Consider the following 27,527-nt stretch of genomic DNA (forward strand, 5'->3'; position numbering starts at 1 on the left):
TACTTGAGTACACAGCTATAATAGCTTATGTATAAATGGCTTTCATTTTAATAGTACATATTTTCCTTCTATTAACTATTTCATATGTAGAAAAGAGCATATATGAATCATTTATGTAAAGAATAGCAGCAAGTAAAAATAATTCCCATATATTTACTATCGAGCTTGAGAAATAGAACATTACCAAATACTGTTGAAGTTCTTTGTTTCTCCTTTCCCAGTCATATCTTTTTTATTTCTTATTTTGATATATAATGATTTTCCTTCTCTTCAGTATGGTTTTGAACTCTAAGATGGAATCAATATGATACATATTCTTTTGAGAACTAGGTGTTTCACACAGTGTTAGGGTTTTGAGCTGCTTCTATGTAGATGTGCAGAGTTTTCATTTGTTCCTTATTACTGTACAGTATTCCAGTGTGTGATTACATGATAATTTATTCTTTCTCCTGTGGATAAGGCATTTTGTCTGCTATTTTGCATAGTAATAGGGTATAATAATGCCTATCGTAGAGGGTTTTGGTGTGGATTATGTGAGATAATGCCTATAAAATGCTTAGTAGAACGTGTGATGTCTAGTTAGTACTCAGTAACTGGCAGCTATTATTACTATTATTAATCCTGAAAGAATTGATATAGCTATCATGCAAGGATTTCATGGCCTGATTCATACAAAGTTTCTTAGAAAACTATTCTCCAGTGATATAGTTTATTTGGATTATCTCAATTTTGGAAAAGTTTGAAAAGTACAAATTAGATTGGATTTTAGGTTTTACGTATATGCTTGTGAAAAACAAAATTGACAAAATAATAAGAATAATAAAATGGGCAATTGGTTGTCTTAGCACCATTTGTATATATGCTGCCAAAGTGAGCACTATCCTAGCATCATTTGTTTAAAATTACATAGTTTTCTCAGTGATCTGTGTTTCCCTATTTTTAAAAATTATTTTCTTGCGTTCATATTTCCAGATCCCTCAGCAAGCAAGTTGCCTTCCTTTGGGTAGACTCTGGTTTGTCTGTGTTTTTCTTAAAATAAGGTGTCCTGAATTAGATGAAACACAATTTCACTTCTGATCTGACCAGCATGAAGTATATTCAGTAATTCTCTTTCTGTCAATGTACTGTGAGATCTTTAATGGTCACAGCATAATTGGGCATTAAAAAAAACCATGTACTGCTTTCAAAACTTAAAGCTGTAGGAAAAAAGCAAAGCAAAACAAACCAAACAAAAACCATGAACTGCTGCCAAGATTCCTATTCTCATTTCTTGTATCTATATAATACTTTTTTAAAAATCTTCTTATTTTTGAGACAGAGTCTCACTTTATTGCCCAGGCTGGACTGCAGTGGCATGATCTTGGCTCACTGCAACTTCTACATCCCAGGTTCAAGTGATTCTCCTGCCTCAGCCTCCCGGGTAGCTGGGATTACAGCTGTGTGAGTGGCGCATGACACCACATCCAGCTGATCTTTGTATTTTTAGTAGAGATGGGGTTTCACTATGTTGGCCAGGCTGGTCTTGAACTCCTGACCTCAAGTGATCCGCCTGCCTCGGCCTCCCAAAATGCTGGGATTACAGGCCATTACGCCTCGCCCTATGTAATACTTTTTAACTCTCCTGTATTTCTTTTTATTGCTTTTATATCAGTGTTCAAGCCTATTGGAATGATTTTTAATCAAATTTGATCATTTATTTTATTAAAATATCCCTTTCAGCTTTGTGCCATTTATATATTTGATAAGTATTTTTATCCAAATTAGCAATAAAAATGTTTACTAAGGGCTATGGATAAAAAGTCTAAAACTTTTGGCTGGGCGCGGTGGCTCATGCCTGTAATCCTAGCACTTTGGGAAGCCAAGGTGGGTGGATCACTTGAGGTCAGGAGTTCGAGACCAGCCTGGCCGACGTGGTGAAACCCCGTCTCTACTAAAAATACAAAAATTACCTGGGTGTCATGGTGCATGCCTGTAATCCTAGCTACTCGGGAAGCTGAGGCAGGAGAATTGCTTGAACCTGGGAGGTGGAGATTGTAGTGAGCCGAAGATTGTGCCAGTGCACTCCAGCCTAGGCGACAGAGGGAGACTTTGTCTCAAAAAAAAAAAAAAAAAAAAGGTCTAAAACTTTTGAATAAGATTACTCTCACACCTATTTTGAGTACTTCACTATACTGTCATTCAACCATCTTGTGTTTCACCATCTTATGATTGACTTTTTTCAGTCTATTAACTGAGTAGTTGCGAAATAGTGTTTGTCTAGATATGCCTTGTCCTTAGGGAACCCATATTGGCCACACTGTGTACGGTTTTGGACCTTTTATTTTTTTAACTTAAATATATTAGGATTTCCCTTTAAAACTTCTCTAAAAGCATAATTTCACAGGTATGTAATATCCCATTGTATGAACATAACAATTTATTCACTACCCTACTGTTGGACATTTATTCATTCATTCCAAAAATACATATTGAATGCCTGATATGCGCCATCCTCATCTATAGCCTGAGGACACACCACTGAACAAAATAGACAAACATTTCTTCATCATGAGCTTACATTAAGGAAGAGTATATGAATAACAACCAAACAAGTAAAATAAATGTCAGATGGTGGGATAAGAGCCAGGGAGACAAAGCAGAATGGTCAACACAGAACCTGAGAAAGAGGTATTGAATTAAATATCTGAGTAAGGTGAGAAAGTAAGGCAGTTAACAGTGACAAGAGCATTCCAGACAGAAATAGCATGCACACAGTTGCTGAGGTAAAGTGTGTGAAAGGAAAGGGAGTGTTAAAGGAAAGGGAGGAGGCCAGTGTGTTTGGAGAGTGAGAGTGAAAGGGAGAAGACTAGATTGTGGAAGGCAGTGGTTCTTGACGGGTAGTAAATGCCTCCCAAAGAGATATTTTGGAAAATTATGTGATTTTTCTTGGGTCATCACTGTAATTGGGGATTGTTTCTGGAATGCAGTAGATAGGTGTCAGGTATGTTACTATTTCTATAATGTACAAGACAGTTCCACACAATGAAGAGTTGTCCCTTGTCACATACAGCTTTTGAATGTCCCTGTAGATATTAATGTTGATGAAAAACCTGTTATAAATTACTTCAGTGTTTGTCATGTTTTAAATGATTTTTTTTTTAGTATAGGGTGTTTCTTCTGTTTTTTCTTTCTTTCATGACTGACATTTTTGAAGAGTACAACCTAGTTACTTTGCAGATTTCCCTCAAATTGAATTTATCTGGTGTTTTATCATGATTTGATTCAGATTTGATTTTTATGTAGGAAAGCCACAGAAGTGATGTGCTTTTCATGCTTGTCAGGAGGCACATTATGTTGATTTGTCTCAATACTTGTAATGTTAACTCATACCACTTAGTTAAGGTGGTATCTGCTGGTTTGTGTGTTTTACATATTAATTAATAAGTTAATAAATATTAGGGAGAGATTCTTTGAGACTGTAAATATCTCTAGTTTAGGATCTAGTGTTTATACTTGCCTGAATAATTTATTAATAAAATAGCTTTAATTTGGTTATTGAAAAAAATTCCATCATTGCTTCAACATTTCATTGGAGTTCTGTGGTAAGTTAAAAGTGTCCCTTCTCCATTTATTTATTTATATCATTATGGACTCTTGGATTTTTCGTTTACTCAAAGGGTCACAACCTATCACTATCATTGTTTATTTTGATACTCAAATTATCCCACACTTGCCCACTGGAACCATTTTAAGCTGGTTCCTGTGTGTTCTTATGATCCCATCATTTCATGAGCATTCACCCACTTTCTGAGCTAGGAAGACACTCTAGGAATATCTTATATTTTCTTTTCACCAACCCTAGAGCTGTCCATTTCTCCAAGGGGCGCTGGTTCTTTTTAGCAGAGAGTGGCATGTAGAAACTAAGATCTGTATGCTTGGTGTGCTTATTGATACTATGATGCTGTTGCCTTTATGCCCTTTCAGCAGACAATGTGTGTGTACATAATTACACGCACCCCCCTCTCCCCTGTAGGCCTGTTTCCTTATCTATTACTTTTATTATAAAATGAGAGCTGAGTTTATACTAGTACATCCAATTCCATTCCAGTACTACAGGGTTATTCTAGCCTTTTTTTCTTTCTTTATTTGTAACTCACTTCCCTGATAGTAAGAAACTTGGCTCCCATTATCCTCCATATATTTACTTGTTTAAACTCCCTTGTATGTTTCTCCCTCAGCCCCACTGCTCTTCATGCCTGCAACAGATTGAATTTCTTTCCCAGCCCCAACTCTTTCAACCCACAAGTTTTATATGTAATATAATTATTATTATACCATTCCAGATATTTTTAAATTTCCATTATGATTTCTTTCAACAATGAATGGTGATATATTAGGATGATACCTTCAGTGTGCTGAAAGAAAATAAATTATATCTATCTAGAATTGCATGTCAGTGAAAATCTGTTTTAAGAATGTGGTAATATAAAAATGATTTTAGACAAAAACAGTTCATTCAGCACTCATTAAAAAATTCGGGTGGAGCCAAGATGGCCAAATAGGAACAGCTCCGGTCTACAGCTCCCAGTGTGAGCAACGCAGAAGACTGGTGATTTCTGCATTTCCATCTGAGGTACCGGGTTCATCTCACTAGGGAGTGCCAGACAGTGGGTGTAGGACAGTGGGTGCAGCGCACCATTCACAAGCCGAAGCAGGGCGAGGCATTGCCTCACTCGGGAAGTGCAAGGGGTCAGGGAGTTCCCTTTCCTAGTCAAAGAAAGGGGTGACAGACGGCACCTGGAAAATCGCATCACTCCCACACTAATACTGCGCTTTTCCGACGGGCTTAAAAAACGGCACACCAGGAGATTATATCCCGCACATGGCTCGGAGGGTCCTACGCCCACAGAGTCTCGCTGATTGCTAGCACAGCAGTCTGAGATCAAACTGCAAGGCAGCAGCGAGGCTGGGGGAGGGGCGCCTGCCATTGTGCAGGCTTGATTAGGTAAACAAAGCAGCCTGGAAGCTCGAACTGGGTGGAGCCCACTACAGCTCAAGGAGGCCTGCCTGCCTCTGTAGGCTCCACCTCTGGGGGCAGGGCATAGCCAAACAAAAGGCAGCAGTAACCTCTGTAGACTTAAATGTCCCTGTCTGACAGCTTTGAAGAGAGTAGTGGTTCTCCCAGCACGCAGCTGGAGATGTGAGAATGGGCAGACTGCCTCCTCAAGTGGGTCCCTGACCCCCAAGCAGCCTAACTGGGAGGCACCCCCCAGGAGGGGCAGACTGACACCTCACACGACCGGGTACTCCTCTGAGACAAAACTTCCAGAGGAATGATCAGGCAGCAGCATTTGCGGTTCACCAATATCCGCTGTTCTACAGTCACTGCTGTTGTGCAGCCACCGCTGCTGATACCCAGGCAAACAGGGTCTGGAGTGGACCTCTAGCAAACTCCCAACAGACCTGCAGCTGAGGGTCCTGTCTGTTAGAAGGAAAACTAACAAACAGAAAGGACATCCACACCAAAAACCCATCTGTACGTCACCATCATCAAAGACCAAAGGTAGATAAAACCACAAAGATGCAGAAAAAACAGAGCAGAAAAACTGGAAACTCTAAAAAGCAGAGCGCCTCTCCTCCTCCAAAGGAACGCAGCTCCTCAGCAGCAACGGAACAAAGCTGGATGGACAATGACTTTGAAGAGTTGAGAGAAGAAGGCTTCAGATGATCAAACTACTCCGAGCTACAGGAGGAAATTCAAACCAATGGCAAAGAAGTTAAAAACTTTCAAAAAAATTAGACGAATGGATACCTAGAATAACCAATGCAGAGAAGTCCTTAAAGGAGCTGATGGAGCTAAAAGCAAAGGCGCGAGAACCATGTGAAGAATGCAGAAGCCTCAGGAGCTGATGCGATCAACTGGAAGAAAGGGTATCAGTGATGGAAGATGAAATGAATGAAATGAAGCGAGAAGGGAAGTTTAGAGAAAAAAGAATAAAAAGAAACGAACAAAGCCTCCAAGAAATATGGGACTATGTGAAAAGACCAAATCTACGTCTGATTGGTGTACCTGAAAGTGACAGGGAGAATGGAACCAAGTTGGAAAACACTCTGCAGGATATTATCCGGGAGAACTTCCCCAATCTAGCAAGGCAGGCCAACATTCAGATTCAGGAAATACAGAGAACGCCACAAAGATACTCCTCGAGAAGAGCAACTCCAAGACACATTAATTGTCAGATTCACCAAAGTTGAAATGAAGGAAAAAATGTTAAGGACAGCCAGAGAGAAAGGTCGGATTACCCACAAAGGGAAGCCCATCAGACTAACAGCGGATCTCTCGGCAGAAACCCTATAAGCCAGAAGAGAGTGGGGGCCAATATTCAACATTCTTAAAGAAAAGAATTTTCAACCCAGAATTTCATATCCAGCGAAACTAAGCTTCATAAGTGAAGGAGAAATAAAATCCTTTACAGACAAGCAAATGCTGAGAGATTTTGTCACCACCAGGCCTGCCCTAAAAGAGCTCCTGAAGGAAGCGCTAAACATGGAAAGGAACAACTGGTACCAGCCACTGCAAAAACATGCCAAAATGTAAAGACTGTCAAGGCCAGGAAGAAACTGCATCAACTAATGAGCAAAATAACCAGCTAACATCATAATGACAGGACCACATTCACACATAACAATATTAACTTTAAATGTAAATGGACTAAATGCTCCAATTAAAAGGCAAAGACTGGCAAATTGGATAAAGAGTCAAGACCCATCAGTGTGCTGTATTCAGGAAACCCATCTCATGTGCAGAGACACACATAGGCTCAAAATAAAGAGATGGAGGAAGATCTACCAAGCAAATGGAAAACAAAAAAAGGCAGGGGTTGCAATCCTAGTCTCTGATAAAACAAACTTTAAACCAACAAAGATCAAAAGAGACAAAGAAGGCCATTACATAATGGTAAAGGGATCAATTCAACAAGAAGAACTAACTATCTTAAATATATATGCACCCAATACAGGAGCACCCAGATTCATAAAGCAAGTCCTTAGTGACCTACAAAGAGACTTAGACTCCCACACAATAACAATGGGAGACTTTAACACCCCACTGTCAACATTAGACAGATCAACGAGACAGAAAGTTAACAAGGATACCCAGCAATTGAATTCAGCTCTGCACCAAGCAGACCTAATAGACATCTACAGAACTCTCCACCCCAAATCAACAGAACATACATTTTTCTCAGCACCACACCGCACCTATTCCAAAACTGACCACGTAGTTGGAAGTAAAGCACTCTCAGCAAATAGAAAAGAAATTATAACAAACTATCTCTCAGACCACAGTGCAATCAAATTGGAACTCAGGATTCAGAATCTCACTCAAAACCGCTCAACTACCTGGAAACTGAATAACCTGCTCCTGAATGACTACTGGGTACATAACGAAATGAAGGCACAAATAAAGATGTTCTTTGAAACCAACGAGAACAAAGACACAACATACCAGAATCTCTGGGACACATTCAAAGCAGTGTGTAGAGGGAAATTTATAGCACTAAATGCCCACAAGAGAAAGCAGGAAAGATCCAAAATTGACACCCTAACATCACAATTAAAAGAACTAGAAAAGCAAGAGCAAACACATTCAAAAGCTAGCAGAAGGCAAGAAATAACTAAAATCAGAGCAGAACTGAAGGAAATAGAGACACAAAAAACCCTTCAAAAAATTAATGAATCCAGGAGCTGGTTTTTTGAAAGGATCAACAAAAGACCGCTAGCAAGACTAATAAAGAAAAAAAGAGAGAAGAATCAAATAGACACAATTAAAAATGATAAAGGGGATATCACCACCGATCCCACAGAAATACAAACTACCATCAGAGAATACTACAAACACCTCTATGCAAATAAACTAGAAAATCTAGAAGAAATGGACAAATTCTTTGACACATACACCCTCCCAAGACTAAACCAGGAAGAAGTTGACTCTCTGAATAGACCAATAACAGGATCTGAAATTGAGGCAATAATCAATAGCTTACCAACCAAAAAAAGTCCAGGTCCAGATGGAATCACACTGAATTCTACCAGAGGTACAAAGAGGAGCTGGTACCATTCCTTCTGAAACTATTCCAATCAATAGAAAAAGAGGGAATCCTCCCTAACTCATTTTATGAGGCCAGCATCATTCTGATACCAAAGCCAGGCAGAGACACAACCAAAAAAGAGAATTTTAGACCAATATCCCTGATGAACATTGATGCAAAAATCCTCAATAAAATACTGGCAAACTGAATCCAGCAGCACATCAAAAAGCTTATCCACCATGATCAAGTGGGCTTCATCCCTGGGATGCAAGGCTGGTTCAACATATGCAAATCAATAAACGTAATCCAGCATATACACAGAACCAAAGACAAAAACCACATGATTATCTCAATAGATGCAGAAAAGGCCTTTGACAAAATTCAACAACCCTTCATGCTAGAAACTCTCAATAAATGAGGTATTGATGGGATGTATCTCAAAATAATAAGAGCTATCTATGACAAACCCACAGCCAATATCATACCGAATGGGCAAAAACTGGAAGCATTCCCTTTGAAAACAGGCACAAGACAGGGGTGCCCTCTCTCACCACTCCTATTCAACATAGTGTTGGAAGTTCTGGCCAGGGCAGTTAGGCAGGAGAAGGAAATAAAGGGTATTCAATTAGGAAAAGAGGAACTCAAATTGTCCCTGTTTGCAGATGACATGATTGTATATCTAGAAAACCCCGTTGTCTCAGCCCAAAATCTCCTTAAGCTGATAAGCAACTTCAGCAAAGTCTCAGGATACAAAATCAATGTACAAAAATCACAAGCATTCTTATACACCAACAGCAGACAAAGAGCGAGCCAAATCATGAGTGAACTCCCATTCACAGTTGCTTCAAAGAGAGTAAAATACCTAGGAATCCAACTTACAAGGGATGGAAGGACTTCTTCAAGGAGAACTACAAACCACTGCTCAATGAAATAAAAGAGGATACAAACAAATGGAAGAACATTCCATGCTCATGGGTAGGAAGAATCAATATCGTGAAAATGGCCATACTGCCCAAGGTAATTTATAGATTCAATGCCATCCCCATCAAGCTACCAGTGGTAATTTATAGATTCAATGCCATCCCCATCAAGCTACCGGTGACTTTCTTCACAGAATTGGAAGAAACTACTTTAAAGTTCATATGGAACCAAAAAAGAGCCTGCATCGCCAAGTCAATCCTAAGCCAAAAGAACAAAGCTGGAGGCATCACACTACCTGACTTCAAACTATACTACAAGGCTACAGTAACCAAAACAGCATGGTACTGGTACCAAAACAGAGATATAGATCAATGGAACAGAACAGAGCCCTCAGAAATAATGCCACATATCTACAACCATCTGATCTTTGACAAACCTGACAAAAACAAGAAATGGGGAAAGGATTCCCTATTTAATAAATGGTGCTGGGAAAACTGGCTAGCCATATGTAGAAAGCTGAAACTGGATCCCTTCCTTACACCGTATACAAAAATTAATTCAAGATGGATTAAAGACTTACATGTTAGTCCGAAAACTGTGAAAACCCTAGAAGAAAACCTAGGCAATACCATTCAGGACATAGGCATGGGCAAAGACTTCATGTCTAAAACACCAAAAGCAATGGCAACAAAAGCCAAAATTGACAAATGGGATCTAATTAAACTAAAGAGTTTCTGCACAGCAAAAGAAACTACCATCAGAGTGAAGAGGAAACCTACAAAATGGGAGAAAATTTTCGCAACCTACTCATCTGACAAAGGGCTAATATCCAGAATCTACAATGAACTCAAACAAATTTACAAGAAAAAAACAACCCCATCAAAAAGTGGGTGAAGGATATGAACAGACACTTCTCAAAAGAAGACATTTATGCAGGCAAAAAACACATGAAAAAATGCTCATCATCACTGGACATCAGAGAAATGCAAATCAAAACCACAATGAGATACCATCTCACACCAGTTAGAATGGCGATCATTAAAAAGTCAGGAAACAACAGGTGCTGGAGAGGATGTGGAGAAATAGGAACACTTTACACTGTTGGTGGGACTATAAACTAGTTCAACCACTGTGGAAGTCAGTGTGTCGATTCCTCAGGGATCTAGAACTGGAAATACCATTTGACCCAGCCATCCCATTTCTGGGTATATACCCAAAGGATTATAAATCGTGCTGCTATAAAGACACATACACATGTACGTTTATTGCGGCACTATTCACAATAGCAAATACTTGGAACCAACCCAAATGTCCAAGAATGATAGACTGGATTAAGAAAATGTGGCACATATACACCATGGAATACTATGCAGCCATAAAAAATGATGAGTTCATGTCCTTTGTAGGGACATGGATGAAACTGGAAACCATCATTCTCAGCAAGCTATCTCAAGGACAAAAAACCAAACACCACATGTTCTCACTCATAGGTGGGAATTGAACAATGAGAACACATGGACACAGGAAGGGGAACATCACACTCTGGGGCCTGTTGTGGGGTGGGGGGAGGGGGGAGGGGGGAGGGATAGCATTTGGAGATATACCTAATGTTAAATGACGAGTTAATGGGTGCAGCACACCAACATGGCACTTGTATACATATGTAACAAACCTGCACATTGTGCACATGTACCCTAAAACTTAAAGTATAATAATAATAAAATAAAAAAATTCTAAGTGGTTACCTCAGACTAAACGGAAATAATCTAATATGGGAAATTTGTGATGTAGGAAATATTAAAGAGCAAAAGATGTGTTAAGTATGTGGATAAATAAAGCTAAATACTTAAGTATATGAAACAAAAATACTAGGACCTTCATGACTGAGATGAAATGTTATAAACTTAAAATATATGACAACAATATCTTACAGGTTAGAAGCTGCATAAATGGAGTTAATTTTTTCCAAGTTTCTTAAGTGTTTGGGAAAAAGCTGTTATTTACTTTAGCTTGATAACTATATGTGTTATAATTTCTATAATAACCCTGTCCCCTACATCATACCTTACTACAAAATTAATTTGAGATGGATCATAGACTTTACTTTGAAAGGTAAAATAAAGTTTCTTGAAAATCTCTTCATGATGTTGGGTTAGGCAAAGGTTTCTTAAACAAGAACAAAAATACACTTCATAAAAGAAAGGATTGCTAAATTGCTCTTCATGAAAGTTAAGAATGGTAATCAAAAGGCAGCATGAAGAGTGAAAAGTCAAGCTACACAGTGGAAGAGGGTATTTCGGATACATATATTTGATAAAGGACATAAATTCAGAATATATAAGGAAGTCATGCAAATCAATTATTCCTACCCAAAGACTTCACTAGGTGTCTCATAAATGAAGATATCCAAGTGGACAGTAAGCATTTGAAAACATTGTCAATATCACTGCCTGTTTGGTAATGCAAGTTAACCATAATGAGATACTGCTTCATATCAGAGTAGCTAAAATTAAAAAGAACAATGCTAAATATTGGTAAAGTTATGAAGCAACTGGAATAGTCATTTATTGCTGATGGGAAGGTAAACTGGTACACAACTCTTAAAATAATTTATAGTTATTTCATAATGGTAAACATGCCTTACCTGGGACACTTCATTCCTACTTCTTTTTAGGTACGTACTCAAGAACTATCAGTACATATGTTCAGTAGAAGACATGGTCAATAATAATTATAGCCCCAAACTGAAAACTACATAAATGTATATCAAGAGTAGAATAGATGAATCAATTATGCTTTATTCATCCAGTGAAATCCTGTGTAGCCATAAAAGATAGCAAACTACTACTGCCTCAACAACCTTGAAAGCTGTCACACACGTTATGGTTAGCAAAAAAGCCAGACACAAAGAGTCATACTGAATAATTCCATTCATATGAAATTCAAAAACTAATCAATGGTGAGAAAAGTGATAAGAATGGTTACCTCTGGTGGAGTCAGGTGTGTGGTATTGACTGGGAAGACGCACAAGAGGTCTTCTCAGGTATAGGAAGTTTTTGTATATCTGGATATGGGCAGCATTTACATTGCTGTCATCACATATAAAAAATAAACTACCTGACTTCAGATTTGTACACCTTATTAAAGATTTATTATATATTAATTAAAAGGAAACATTGAACAAGAGATACAATTGAAATCATAGAAAAGGAACTTTAAGAAGGCAACCATTTCTAATCATAGCAAAAACTTTATAAAAAGCATCAAGGCATAAATCTAACAAGATTTATGAGATCTTTTATTGGAGAATAGTAAAATTTATTTTGAAAGGCTAGTAGAAGTCCTAAGTACATAGAGAAATACACTGTATTTATTAATAAGACTCTATATCCACCTAGCACAAACTGCTTCAATGAATCAAGGCAGATGTTTCTTTAAATTTTTTTTATCATGGTAAAATACACAACACAAAATTTACCTCAACTGTTTTTAAGTGTACAGTTTACTGGTGTTAAGTACATTCATATTGTTGTGCAACCACCACCACCATCCGTCTCCAAGACTCTTTTCATCTTGTAAAACTGAAACTTATACCCATTAAATAATAACTTCTCATTCTGTCTTCCCATCTGCCCCAGGCAGCCACCATTTTCCTTTTTGTCTCATATGATTTTGATTACTCTGAGTACTTCCTATAAATGGAATAATACAATATTTGTCTTTTTGTGACTGGCTTATTTCACTTAGCCTCATGTGGTTCATCCATGTTGTAGCATATGTTATAATTTTGTAAAGTGAGTCTGTTGTAGACAGTATATAGTTGGATCATTCTGCCAATCTCTATTGATTAAATTTATTTACTTTTAAAGTAATTAACAATAAGGAGGAACCTGCTTCTGTCCTTTTTCTATTTGTTTTCTACATCAAGGTACAAATTTTATGTTCAGATACAATTCCAAACCACGATGAGGATTTATCTTAACTGTCCTCTACCCCACAGAAATGCAGAGGCCAACAAATCACATTTGTAGGCTCCTAAAGGAAACTCTCTTAGATTGCTTGTCAAAAACTGTTGAGATCATTTTGGCCCCTTCCATGCTATGAGAACGAGATCCACACTGTACCCAATGATTTACTGACTTCTCTCGGCAGAATACTGTCTCTTCTCCTTCTCTCTTCTGTTTGGTAATGAAGAGAAGAAAAGTTTGAAGTCAGTACTTTATATCATTTAGTATATGGACCAATAACTCAACAAGTTTAGAAAAAAAAACCATGAAGTAAACTTTACTTATACTCTAAAATAAACCAAACCAAACTACGAAAGTAGTAAGGAGGAAATTATAAAATAAAATCTATCAGTTAATGAACTAGAAAACAGAAAAATGATAGAATTGAGCATTAAAATCTAGATTTGGACCTTGGAAAAATTCCAAATCAGCAGACAAGTTCTGACTAGCTAGAAGATGAGAAGGAAAAACATACAATGTGGTAAATGAAAAGGAGCATGCCAGATATACCACTTAGAAAATTTGAAATAATAGGAGAATATAATGTATAACATATAACTCTCGTTAGGTATAAAATTTTCATGAAATGACTGATTTTCTTAGATAATATAATTAAACAGAAGCGTGTAACAGATTAAACATTATGAGAGAGAAAAACTTTATTGATCAAACATTTGGCTTCCAAGAAAAGTACCTGACCTAGCTCAATATTAGGTAACATTATGAAGTATTTCCTGGGCATGATAATGACATTGTGGTTATATGATAGGTGAATTATTTAGGGTCGAAGTGTCAAATCAGTGTCTTTGTGGAGGGATAAAGCTTTGTGGAGGGATAGGGGAAAATGTTCGACAATTGTTGAATCTAAATAGAAGGAATTCACATGTTTATTTTAACATTCTATCAACTTTTTGGTATACTCTTAACAAAAAGAAAAAAACAATGCCTGACTTAGATGTTTATATGGGTGACTCAAGCTATCAAGTAATGGATAACTCCTGTGCCATATAAACAGTTCCAATACACTAACAAAAACTTCCTAATTTACTTGAGGACATTAACAAAAACCTCAGAAGACATACCTGAAATTATGAATCTTTTGCATCAGTGTGATGTCTCCACTTTTATTTCTGATTTTATTTATTTGAGTCTTCTAGTTTTTTCTTAGTCTAGCTAAATGTTTGTTAACATTGTTTTTACCTTTTCAAAAACTAACAATTTAGTTGATTTCTTCCTGTTTTTCTATTTTTTATTTCTGCTCTAATTTTTATTCTTTCCTTTTTTCTGCTAACTTTGGGCTTAGTTTTGTTCTTTTTTTTCTAGTTCCTTGAGATGTAAAGTTGAGTTGCTTATTTGAGATCTTTCTTCCTTTAAAAATAGGCAATTATCATTAGAAACTTCCCTCTTAGTCCTGATTTTGCTTCATCCTGTAAGTGTTCATTTGTTGTGTTTTTGTCTTTTTTAAAATTTTCCTTGATTTCATCTTTGATCCACTGGTTGTTTTAAGAGTGTGTTGTTAATTCCCACATAATTGTGATTTTCCCAGTTTTCCTTCTGTTACTGATTTCTAATTTTAGTCTATTGTGCTTGGGAAAAAAAGGTTGGTATCATTTCAGTCTTCTTAAATTTGTTCAGACTTGTTTTATGACTTAATATGTGATCTATCCTGGAGAATGTTCTATGTGCAGTTGAGAAGACTGTGTATTCTGCAACTGTTAGGTGGAATATTCAGTATATGTGTGTTCTGTTCATTATTGAAAATGGGGTACTGACATCTTCTACTGTATTGCTAATTGCTATTTTTCCCTTCAGTTCTGTCAGTGTTTGCTTTATGTATTTAGGTACTCTAATGTTGGGTGTATATATGTTTATACTTGTGATATCTTCCTAATGAATTGACTCTTTTATCATATGACCTTCTTTGTCTCTTGGGATGGTTTTTTATTTAAAGTCTATATCGTCTGATAGTGTGGCCACACCTGTGCTCTTTTGGTTGCTATCTGCATGGAATATATTTTCCTATTCCTTCACTTTTAGCCTGTGTGTCCTTAAATCTAAAGTGAGTCTCTTCTAGATAGTATATAGTTAGATCTTATTTTTAAAATTAATTCAGCCACTATATGTTTTTTGATTAGGGAGTTTACTCCATTTACATTAAAGTAATTATTGATAGGGAAAGACTTACTAGTTCCATTTTGTTAATTGGTTTCTTTCTTGTAGTTGTTTTGTCCCTTTTGTCCTCTCTTGCTGTCTTCCTTTGTGATTTGTTGATTTTGCTTTGATCCTTCCTTTTTTTTTTTTCTTTCGTGTATCTTCTATAGGTATTTTCTTTGTGGTTACCAAAGTCTTAACAGAAAACAACTTATAGCTACAGCGAAAGCAATTTAAAAAAATAGACAAACAGGACTGCATCTAATTAAAAAGCTTTTGCACAGCAAAGAAAACAGTTAAGAGACTGAACTGGTAATCTATGGAATAGGAGAAAATATTTGCAAACCATGTATCTAATGAGGGGTTAATATCCAAAGTATATAAGGAACACCTGCAACTCAACAGCCAAAAAAAAAAAAAAAAATCCCCAAAACAAAAAACAAATAACCTGGTTAAAACATGGGTAAAGGACTTGAATGAACATTTCTTAAGACATACAAATGTGTAAGGTGCTGTATATGAAAAGATATTCAATATCGCTAATCATCAGGAAAATGCAAATCAAAACCACAATGACTGAACACTTCATATCTGTTAGGATGGCTGATATCAAAACAAAACAAATGGTAACAAGTGTTGGAGAGGATGTGGAGAAATTAGAACCCTGTACACTGTAGATGGTCATGTAAAATGGTGTAGCTGCTGTGGAAAATAGTATGGAGATTCCTTAAAAAATAAGAATAGAATTACCATATGATCCCACTTCTGGGTACATATCCAAAGGAAATGAAATCAGAATCTTGAGGAGATCCCATGTTCACAATAGCATTAATCACAGTAGCCAAGATATATAAACAAGATGTATAAACATCTATAGATGAATGGATAAAGAAAATGTGGTATATACATACAATGGAATATTATTCCACCTTAAGGAAGTCCTGCTGTATGTGACAACATGGATGACCCTGCAAGACATTACACTATGTGAAAGAATCCAGTCACAGAAGGACAAATACTGAATGATTTCACTTATATGAAATATCTAAAAATAGTCAAATTCAGAAAACAGAGAGTAGAATGGTGATTGCCAAGGACTGGGAGGAAGGGGAAATTGGGAATTGATGTTAGGTAGGTATCACAGGCAAAGCAGATAGTTCAATATTGGGAAATTTATAAACAAGTTTTTACATTAGTAGATCTAATGGAGAAATGATTATTTCATTAAGCTCCAAAAAGTATTTGGGAATAAAAATAAAATCTGTAATTAAAAATATTTCTTTAGAGTAGAATATTTCTTTATAGTAGAATAATACCTCAAATATGATAAAGAATATGTATTTGAAATTTGCAATCAGCATAATCAAAGTCAAATACTTTTGTTATGCATATAAAACATTTGTGAGAAAAGTCATATAATATGGTGGAGTAGGGAACTCTAGGGCTCTTGCAAAAACACCTAATAAGCTTCCAGAAACTATCAGAATTAGTTTTCGTAGAACTCTGGAATTTAGTTAACATTAAAAACCAGGAAAAGTAGGGAGCTGTAGCGCTGCAGAAACAGAACACTATGGCACCTTAAATTGCTCACCTACCATTCCTTGTGCCTAGATGAACAATGACTTTGAAGACAGCAGCTTATACTCATGGTGCAGGCTGTTAGCACGAGAAGGATTAGTACAGATCTTGCTCTCAAAAAATTGTGATCGTTTTAACCTGTCTGAAGTATCTGAAGGACCAGTATAGAGCTTCCTTTTGTTTTACACAGCTCAGAGCTTTCCTGGGACTGGGGTGGCTTGTCTGTCATCACGTGTCAAAAGTATTTAAAAGCCAGAGTATCAGCTGTAGAAGCCTGAGTCTGGGGATAAAAATTAGGACAATGAATAGGTAGACAAAAAGCCAGGAAGGAACGGTTGAAAAGGAGATACGGGGTGGTATAAGGACTTTTAAATGCTTTTTTGTATGCTGAGAAATTGAGAATGCTACGTACATGCCTAGGATTGGACAACTCCTCAGAGAAGGCTTGAGAAGACCCTAAGCTTTCACCACTAGCTGACCTTCAGGCTCTGCCTAACTAAGTAGGATGTGAAGGCTAAGATATAGTTGTAAACAGCCTGGCTTAGTGTTGATGGAATGCCCCAACACAGAGCAAAAAAGACTGGGAGTGTTTTTTTTCTTTCCTATTACCTTTTTTCTTTCCTTGGCTGCAGGTGTTTAAGGAACCTGTCAAAATAGTAGTTGACCCTGAAGCTAAGTGAGCACAGACTTCAGTTCCATGCACAACAAAGAATGTAAGCTTTATGAAATAGTCACTAAACAACACTTACAACAAGCAGTAACAGCAAACTCCAGGGAAGGGGGAGAATCCAGTATCCAGAGTTGTCACTTTATAATATTCAATATGTCCAGTTTTCAACAAATTATAAGGCATGCAAAGAAGTAAAAAAGTGTGACTCATTCAAAGGAAAAAAGAGAAATTAATGAAACTATCCCTGAGGAAGCCCACCTTAAATGTACTCAATGAGCTGAACAATACCATCAGCAAAGAACTAAGGGAAACCAAGAAAAGGATTTCCCACCAAAAAGAAATATCGACAAAGAGAAATTATAAAAAGGAAACAAATAGAAATTCTGCAGCTGAAAAGTACAGTAACAAAAATTCTTTAGAAGGATTCAATAGCTGAGTAGTCTGAACAAAGAATCAGTGAACTTGAAGAAAGGTCAGATGATTTATTTATTCGAGGAGAAGAAAGAGAAAAGAATAAAGAAAATGAACAGGGCTATGGGACATCCCCAAGCATACCAACATATGCATTATGGGATTCTTAGAGGGAAGAGAGAGAGAGAGAGAGAGAGAGAGAAAGGGGCGGTAATAATATTTGAAGAAATAATGGTTGAAAACTTCCCTAATTTGTTGAAAAATGAATTTCAAATGGGTTAAACTCAAAGAGACCCACACCATGTCACATTATAGTCAAATTGTTAAATATTTAGCATAGATGTTGGTTCTATTAGTAGAAATATACTTTCCTTAATGAAGTCAGCTTTAACAGATTTTTTTTTTAAATCTGGTTTTGAAGTCATAAAATACAAAACTATGAGCTTCTTACAAAGTTATTCCTGCCGTAAATACTGTGGTAATTTATATATTTAAAAAATTGAGAATTTTTTTAAAACAAGTGTTTCCAAAAGCTTATTGATTTTTAAGTAAGTTTTGTATCACATGGTAATACGTTTCTTTTATTTGTAGAAAGTAGATTTTTACTTTTTAGTGCTTGTTGACTCTGTGTGTGTGTGTGTGTGTGTGTGTGTGTGTGTGTGTGTCTATTGGTTTACATGACGGTGAAGAACTACTTATTTCTTTTTTGGTTTGTTACATGAAGTCTTTGACATTGTTTGTTTGTTTGTGACAGGGTCTTGCTCAGTCACCGAGGCTGGAGTGTAGTGGCTGGATCTTAGCTCACTGCAATGTCCACCTCCCGAGCTCAAGCTATCCTTCCACCTCAGTCTCTCAAAGTGCTGGTATTACAGGCTTAAGCCACTGCACCTGGCTGATGTGTCATTAAGCTGGATGATGAGAGAATAATATAACCTGATAAAACTCATGTAGATCTTTTGAGAAGAGATAATTTTAATTGTGAAATAGCATCTGGAAATCAGTAAAAGACATATTTTAGCTAACCAGTAATTTCATAACATCTTTATCTCAGTATAATTTACTATAATACATAAGGTTTGCCCATTTAAAGTGTATAGTTTATTTATAGAATTTTACAATAGCATAATTTTAGAACTTTGTTGTCATTAGCCCCTCTCCCCCAATTCCCTAGCCCTAGGCAAACACCAGTCCACTTTCTCTCCCAATTCTTTTTTGCCAATTCTGGACATTTTATATAAACAGAATTGTAATGTATGATCTTTTGTGACTGCCTTCTTTTACTTAGCATAGTGTTTTCAAGAGTCATTCATGTTATGTTGTAATGTGAATCAGTACTTCATCCCTTTTTATTGCCAAATTACATTTCATTGTATAGATACTTTGTTTACTCATTAGTTGGTAGACATTTGGATTTTCCACTCTGGCCATTGTGAATAGTGCTGCTATGAACATAGTGTTTATGTGTTAGGGTAGGTGTTTCATTTCTCTTGGTTATATACCTAACAGTAGAATTACTGGGACATACAGTAACTCCATGTTTAACATGTTGAGGAACTTCTAAACTTTTTTCTGAAGTAGCTGCACTATTTACATTCCCATGAGCAGTATATGAGGGTTTCAGTTTCTCCACGTCCTTTCCAACATTTGTCATTTTCTGTCTTTTTGATTATAGCCTGGTTGGGTGTTAAGGGGTATTTATTGTGTTTTTTACCTATTTCTAACAACTAATGGTGTTGAACATCTTTTCATGTGCTTATTGGTCATTTATCTTTTCTGATGAAATACCTATTCAAATTCTTTACCCATTTATAAATTTATCACTGTACAAATTTGTTGAGTTGCAAGCATTCTTTTTATATTCTGGATATTAGACCTTTAGCAGATTTATGGACTTACCAATATTTTCTCCCATTCTGTAGACTTTTTTACTTTCTTGATGGTGACCTTTGATACGCAAAAGTTTTAAATTCTGATGAACTCTAACTTATCAGACTTTTATTCTTTGCACTTTTGGTGACATATCTAAGAAATCAGTGCATAACCCAGGGTCACAAAGATTTAGTGTTTTCTTCTGAGAGATTTAGTTTTAGTTTTTATATTTAGATCTGTGGTTCTATTTGAGGCAATTAAAATTTTTATTTTTTTAATTGTGATAAAATATACATAAAATTTATCATCTTAACCATTGTTAAGTATATGGTTCAGTGGCGTTAAGTACATTCATATTGTTGTTTAACCAATCTCTATAGCTTTTTAAATCTTGTAATACTGAAACTCTATATCCATTAAACAACAACTCCCCATTTTCCCCTTCCCCTTAGGCCCTAGCAACCACCATTCTACTTTCTGTCTCTATGAATTTGGCTACTCTAGGTACCTTATAGTAGCAGAATCACACAGTATATGTCTTTTTGCCACTGGTTTATTTCATTCAGTAGTATATTCTTAAAATTCACCCATGTTGTACTATATGTCAGAATTTCCTTCTTTTTTGAGATTATATTATTCCATTGTATGTGTATGCCACAAACAAAAGTTTATCCATTCATCTGTTGATAGACACTTGAGTTGCTTCTGCCATTTGGCTATTGTGAATAGTGCTGCTGTGAACATGCTTGTTATAATTATCTCTTCAAGGTCCTGCTTTCACTTCTTTTGGGTACAGACCCAAAAGTGGAATTCCTGGATCATACAGTCATTCTACTTTTAAGTTTTTGAGGAAGCTCCGTACTGTTTTCCATAAGGGCTACACTGTTTACATTCCCACCAGCAGTATTCGAGGGTACTGATTTCTCCACATCCTTGCCAATACTTGTTATTTTCTGTTTTTTTTTGTTTTTTTTTTTCCTTCTTAATAATGGCTATTCTAACAGGTCTGAATTGATGTCTCATTGTGGTGGTGATTTTCATTTCCCTTATGATTAGTAATATTGAGCTTCTTTTCATTTTTGGTTGGCCAGTTGTATACCTTCTCTGGAGAAATGTCTATTATTTTTGCCTATCTTTGAATCAGGTTTTGTTGTTGTTGTTCCTGAGTTGTAAGTGTCCTTTATATGTTCTGGATATTAACCTTGCATCAGATACAGTGAGTCTTTGCCTCACATCTTTGTTAAGTTCTTGGAAACTGACCTGTAAGTGAAGTGACGTATAGCATAGCAAAACAAACTGATATAAGTTAATTGATAAAACAAGAGTTAAGTTCCTATGGTATTCAGTACATTGTTTCACTTAAAGGTGCAATTTCTAAGTACCTATTGATGATGTTAAGTGAAGACTTATTGTACATGATTTGCAAATATTTTCTCCCATTTTCTAGGTTACCTTTTCACTCTGTTGATGGTGTCCTTTGGTGAACAGAAGTTTTAAATTTTGATTTAGTCCAATTTATCAACTTTTACTTTTGTTGCCTTTCTCCTTTGAGTCAGTTTTTATGTATGGCATGCAAATTCGTCTTTGCATATAGATATTGAGTTGTTTCAGCACTGTTGAAAAGACTCTTCTTTCCCTGTTGAATTTTCATGACCTCTTTGCTGAAAATCAATTTACCATAAATGTTAGTGTTTATTTCTGGACTGTCGGTTCTATGCCATTGATCTACATGACTGTCCTTATGCCAGCACTGTGCTGTCTTGATTATTGTAGCTTTGGAGTAAGTTTTGACATCGGAAAGAGTGAGTCCTCCAACGATGTTTGTCATTTTCAAGATTATTTTGGCTGTTCTGGGTTTATGATCTGCTTGTCAATTACTGAAAAAAAAAAGGCTAGGCTTTTAATAAGAGTTGCATTGAATCTCTAGATTACTATGGGAAATATTACCACTTGAATCTCTAGATTAGTTTAGGAAGTATTAATCTTTCAGTCCATAAACATGAGCCAGTTTTCTAGTTATTTTGATTTTCTTCCATTTCATTCTATGTTTTTTAGTATACTAGACATATATTTATTTTGCTAAATATATTCTCAAGTATTTAATTCTTTTTCTTGCTGTTGTAAATTGAATTTTTTTTAAAAATTTATTTTTGGATTGTGAATTGCTAGTGTATTAAAATACAGTTGATTTTTGTATATTGCACTGGCATCCTGCAGCTTTGCTGAACTTATTAGTCTTAATTGGTTTGTCCTGGTTTCCTTGGGATTTCCTGTATGAAGTTCATGTCATCTGCAAATAGATATAGTTGTACTTCTTTCTTTCCAATCTAGATGTCTTTAATTTCTAACCTGGTTGCCCTGGCAATATGTAACATCCAATATGATACTGAATAGAAGAGGTAAGAATGGCCATACTTGTCTTGTTCTTGATTGTAGGGAGAAAGCATCTAGCTTTTCATTATTCGGTATTATGTTAGCGCTGAGTCTTTCATAGGTACTCTTCATCTGGTTAAAGAAATCCCTTCCATTCCTAGTTTGCTGAGAAATTTTATCACAAAAACGTATTGGGTTTTGTTGAACTGAACAGTAGCTTTTAAGAGCCTGTTACATATCTAATGACATGTGGTTGGTTTGTTGTAAAATTACTTGGAAATGGTTATGTGAAAATACTGAAATTTACTTGGCAAATACTAAAGCTACAAGAATTTTTAAAATGGAAAGGTTATTATGAAAGCTTGAAAGATGCAATGGGAGGAGGTAGAGCATGAAGTGTTAAAAAATTTGTAAGATATAATTGTTGGAAAGGAAGAAGAGAAATATATTTTGGGATGAGTATAAATCTACTCATGCATACTTTTAAGAGGCTGGAATAGGTTTATGTTTCTCAAATTCGGATATTTGCTTCCCACTGATATGTCAGGAGGTATCAAGGCAATAAGAAGCCACAGAATAAAAACAACATTTTTTTTGCCCAAATAAAATTTTTACATCTATTTTTATCAGCTAATGACGAATATTTTTATTTATTTAGTAATTTATTCGTTTATTTATTTATTTATTTATTTATTTATTTTACTTTAAGTTCCAGGATACATATGCAGAACGTGCAGGTTTGTTACACAGGTATACATGTGCCATGGTGGTTTGCTGCACCTATCAACCCATCATTTAGGTTTTAAGCCCTGCATACGTTAGGTATTTGTCCTAATGCTCTCCCTCCCCTTGCCCCTGACCCCACCGACAGGCCCCGGTGTGTGATGTTCCCCTCCCTGTGTCCATGTGTTCTCATTGTTCAACTCCCATTTATGAGTGAGAACACGTGGTGTTTGGTTTTCTGTTCCTGTGTTAGTTTGCTGAGAATGATGGCTTCCGGCTTCATCCATGTCCCAGCAAAGGACATGGTCTTATTCTTTTTTATGGCTGCATAGTATTCCATGGTATATATGTGCCACATTTTCTTTATCCAGTCTATCATTGATGGGCAAAAAGTGGCATTTTTAAAGTGTTAGTTTTGTCCAGTGGTATTTAATTTTTTTTAAGTCAACATTTTGTTTTGAAATAATTGTAGTTTCACATGTGATAAATAATATAGAGATATCACATATACCCTTCACCCAATTTCCCCAAGTGGTAACATCTTGCATAACTGTGGTGATATATCACAACCACAACGTTGATATTGATACAGCCAAGATACTGAACATTTACATCACTACAAAGGTGCCTCATGATACCTTATAATAGCTACTTCCACTTCTCTCCTGCCCCACCTTTTACTGAGCTCCTGGCAACCACTAATTTGTTCCTTTGTTTCTATAACTTTGTAATTTCAAGAATGTCATATAAATGATAACATATAGTATGCAACCTTATTGTATTGGCCTTTTTTTCACTCAGCATACTTATCTGGAGATTCATCCAGACTGTTTTATGTATCAGTAGTTTTTCTTTTTTATTGATGTATAGTATTCCAAAGTATGAATGCACCACAGTTTAAATATTCACTATTGAAGGACATCTTGGTTGTTTCCCAGTTTTTGGCTTTACCAGTACAGCTGCTGTAAACATTCATATGCAAGTTTTTGTGTGAATATGTCTTTGTTTCTGTGGGGTAGATGCCCAGGATTGCAATTGCTGGGTCATGTGGTAGTTGCATGTTTAGTTTTTTGAAAGACAGGCCACACCTTTTTCCAGGGTGGTTATATCATTTACATTCCCACCAGCAGTGTGTGAGTAATCCGTCTACTCCATATCCTCACCAGCATTTGATACTGTCACTATTTTTATTCTAGTCATTCTAATAGGTATGTAGTGGTATCTTATTAAGTTTTTAATGTGTATTTCCCTAATGGTTTTTGATGTTGCACATTTTTTAATATTTCTGTTTCCAGTCTCTTTCTCCTGTTAAGTGAAATGTCTGTATCTTTTGCCCATTTTCTTTTTTTATTTTTATTTTTATTTATTTATTTTTATTATTATACTTTAAGTTTTAGGGTACATGTGCACATTGTGCAGGTTAGTTACATATGTATACATGTGCCATGCTGGTGTGCTGCACCCACTAACTTGTCATCTAGCATTAGGTATATCTCCTAATGCTATCCGTCCCCACTCCCCCCACCCCACCACAGTCCCCAGAGTGTGATATTCTCCTTCCTGTGTCCATGTGATCTCATTGTTCAATTCCCACCTATGAGTGAGAATATGCGGTGTTTGCTTTTTGTTCTTGCGATAGTTTACTGAGAATGATGATTTCCAATTTCATCCATGTCCCTACAAAGGACATGAACTCATCATTTTTTATGGCTGCATAGTATTCCATGGTGTATATGTGCCACATTTTCTTAATCCAGTCTATAATTCTTGGACATTTGGATTGGTTCCAAGTCTTTGCTATTGTGAATAATGCCGCAATAAACATACGTGTGCATGTGTCTTTATAGCAGCATGATTTATAGTCCTTTGGGTATATACCCAGTAATGGGATGGCTGGGTCAAATGGTATTTCTAGTTCTAGATCCCTGAGGAATCGCCACATTGACTTCCACAATGGTTGAACTAGTTTACAGTCCCACCAACAGTGTAAAAGTGTTCCTATTTCTCCACATCCTCTCCAGCACCTGTTGTTTCCTGACTTTTTAATGATTGCCATTCTAACTGGTGTGAGATGGTATCTCATTGTGGTTTTGATTTGCATTTCTCTGATGTCCAGTGATGATGAGCATTTTTTCATGTGTTTTTTGTCTGCATAAATGTCTTCTTTTGAGAAGTGTCTGTTCATGTCCTTCGCCCACTTTTTGATGGGGTTGTTTGTTTTTTTCTTGTAAATTTGTTTGAGTTCATTGTAGATTCTGGATATTAGCCCTTTGTCAGATGAGTAGGTTGCGAAAATTTTCTCCCATTTTGTAGGTTTCCTGTTCACTCTGATGGTAGTTTCTTTTGCTGTGCAGAAGCTCTTTAGTTTAATTAGATCCCATTTGTCAATTTTGTCTTTTGTTGCCATTGCTTTTGGTGTTTTAGACATGAAGTCCTTGCCCACACCTATGTCCTGAATGGTAATGCCTAGGTTTTCTTCTAGGGTTTTTATGGTTTTCAGTCTAACATGTAAGTCTTTAATCCATCTTGAATTAATTTTTGTATACGGTGTAAGGAAGGGATCCAGTTTCAGCTTTCTACATATGGCTAGCCAGTTTTCCCAGCACCATTTATTAAACAGGGAATCCTTTCCCCATTGCTTGTTTTTCTCAGGTTTGTCAAAGATCAGATAGTTGTAGATATGCTGCATTATTTCTGAGGGCTCTGTTCTGTTCCATTGATCTATATCTCTGTTTTGGTACCAGTACCATGCTGTTTTGGTTACTGTAGCCTTGTAGTATAGTTTGAAGTCAGGTAGCGTGATGCCTCCAGGTTTGTTCTTTTGGCTTAGGATTGACTTGGCGATGCAGGCTCTTTTTTGGTTCCATATGAACTTTAAAGTAGTTTTTTCCAATTCTGTGAAGAAAGGCATTGGTAGCTTGATGGGGATGGCATTGAATCTGTAAGTTACCTTGGGCCGTATGGCCATTTTCACGATATTGATTCTTCCTACCCATGAGCATGGAATGTTCTTCCATTTGTTTGTATCCTCTTTTATTTCCTTGAGTAGTGGTTTGTAGTTCTCCTTGAAGAGGTCCTTCACATCCCTTGTAAGTTGGATTCCTAGGTATTTTATTCTCTTTGAAGCAATTGTGAATGGGAGTTCACTCATGATTTGGCTCTCTGTTTGTCTGTTGTTGGTGTATAAGGATGCTTGTGATTTTTGTACATTGATTTTGTATCCTGAGACTTTGCTGAAGTTGCTTATCAGCTTAAGGAGATTTTGGGCTGAGACAGTGGGGTTTTCTAGATATACAATCATGTCATCTGCAAACAGGGACAATTTGACTTCCTCTTTTCCTAATTGAATAGCTTTTATTTCCTTCTCCTGCCTAATTGCCCTGGCCAGAACTTCCAACACCATGTTGAATAGGAGTGGTGAGAGAGGGCATCCCTGTCTTGTGCCGGTTTTCAAAGGGAATGCTTCCAGTTTTTGGGCATTCAGTATGATATTGGCTGTGGGTTTGTCATAGATAACTCTTATTATTTTGAAATACGTCCCATCAATACCTAATCTATTGAGAGTTTTTAGCATGAAGTGTTGTTGAATTTTGTCAAAGGCTTTTTCTGCATCTATTGAGAAAATCATGTGGTTTTTGTCTTTGGCTCTGTTTATATGCTGGATTACATTTATTGATTTGCATATATTGAACCAGCCTTGCATCCCAGGGATGAAGCCCACTTGATCATGGTGGATAAGCTTTTCGGTGTGCTGCTGGATTCAGTTTGCCAGTATTTTATTGAGGATTTTTGCATCAATGTTCATCAAGGATATTGGTCTAAAATTCTCTTTTTTTGTTGTGTCTCTGCCTGGCTTTGGTATCAGAATGATGCTGGCCTCATAAAAAGAGTTAGGGAGGATTCCCTCTTTTTCCATTGATTGGAATAGTTTCAGAAGGAATGGTACCAGTTCCTTCTTGTACCTCTGGTAGAATTCGGCTGTTAATCCATCTGGTCCTGGACTCTTTTTGGTTGGTAAGCTATTGATTATTGCCACAATTTCAGATCCTGTTATTGGTCTATTCAGAGATTCAACTTCTTCCTGGTTTAGTCTTGGGAGAGTGTATGTGTCGAGGAATTTATCCATTTCTTCTAGATTTTCTAGTTTATTTGCATAGAGGTGTTTGTAGTATTCTCTGATGGTAGTTTGTATTTCTGTGGGATCGGTGGTGATATCCCCTTTATCATTTTTAATTGTGTCTATTTGATTCTTCTCTCTTTTTTTCTTTATTAGTCTTGCTAGCAGTCTTTTGTTGATCCTTTCAAAAAACCAGCTCCTGGATTCATTAATTTTTTGAAGGGTTTTTTGTGTCTCTATTTCCTTCAGTTCTGCTCTGATTTTAGTTATTTCTTGCCTTCTGCTAGCTTTTGAATGTGTTTGCTCTTGCTTTTCTAGTTCTTTTAATTGTGATGTTAGGGTGTCAATTTTGGATCTTTCCTGCTTTCTCTTGTGGGCATTTAGTGCTATAAATTTCCCTCTACACACTGCTTTGAATGTGTCCCAGAGATTCTGGTATGTTGTGTCTTTGTTCTCGTTGGTTTCAAAGAACATCTTTATTTGTGCCTTCATTTCGTTATGTACCCAGTAGTCATTCAGGAGCAGGTTGTTCAGTTTCCATGTAGTTGAGCGGTTTTGAGTGAGATTCTTAATCTTGAGTTCTAGTTTGATTGCACTGTGGTCTGAGAGATAGTTTGTTATAATTTCTGTTCTTTTAC

General features: G+C 36.4%; 1 protein-coding gene and 1 long non-coding RNA gene across 3 annotated transcripts in view; both read left to right on the forward strand.

The window, feature by feature from the left end:
• ALMS1 (ALMS1 centrosome and basal body associated protein) overlaps nt 1–27,527 on the forward strand; it is a 224,162-nt gene that overhangs the window by 70,181 nt on the left and 126,454 nt on the right.
• Nucleotides 1,165–3,544, forward strand: ALMS1-IT1 (ALMS1 intronic transcript 1). The gene is made up of 2 exons (NR_046762.1): nt 1,165–1,388; nt 2,003–3,544. It is a non-coding gene; the product is annotated as an ALMS1 intronic transcript 1 (long non-coding RNA).

The sequence above is a fragment of the Homo sapiens genome, chromosome 2 (assembly GCF_000001405.40).
Source record: "Homo sapiens chromosome 2, GRCh38.p14 Primary Assembly".
Lineage (NCBI taxonomy): Eukaryota > Metazoa > Chordata > Mammalia > Primates > Hominidae > Homo > Homo sapiens.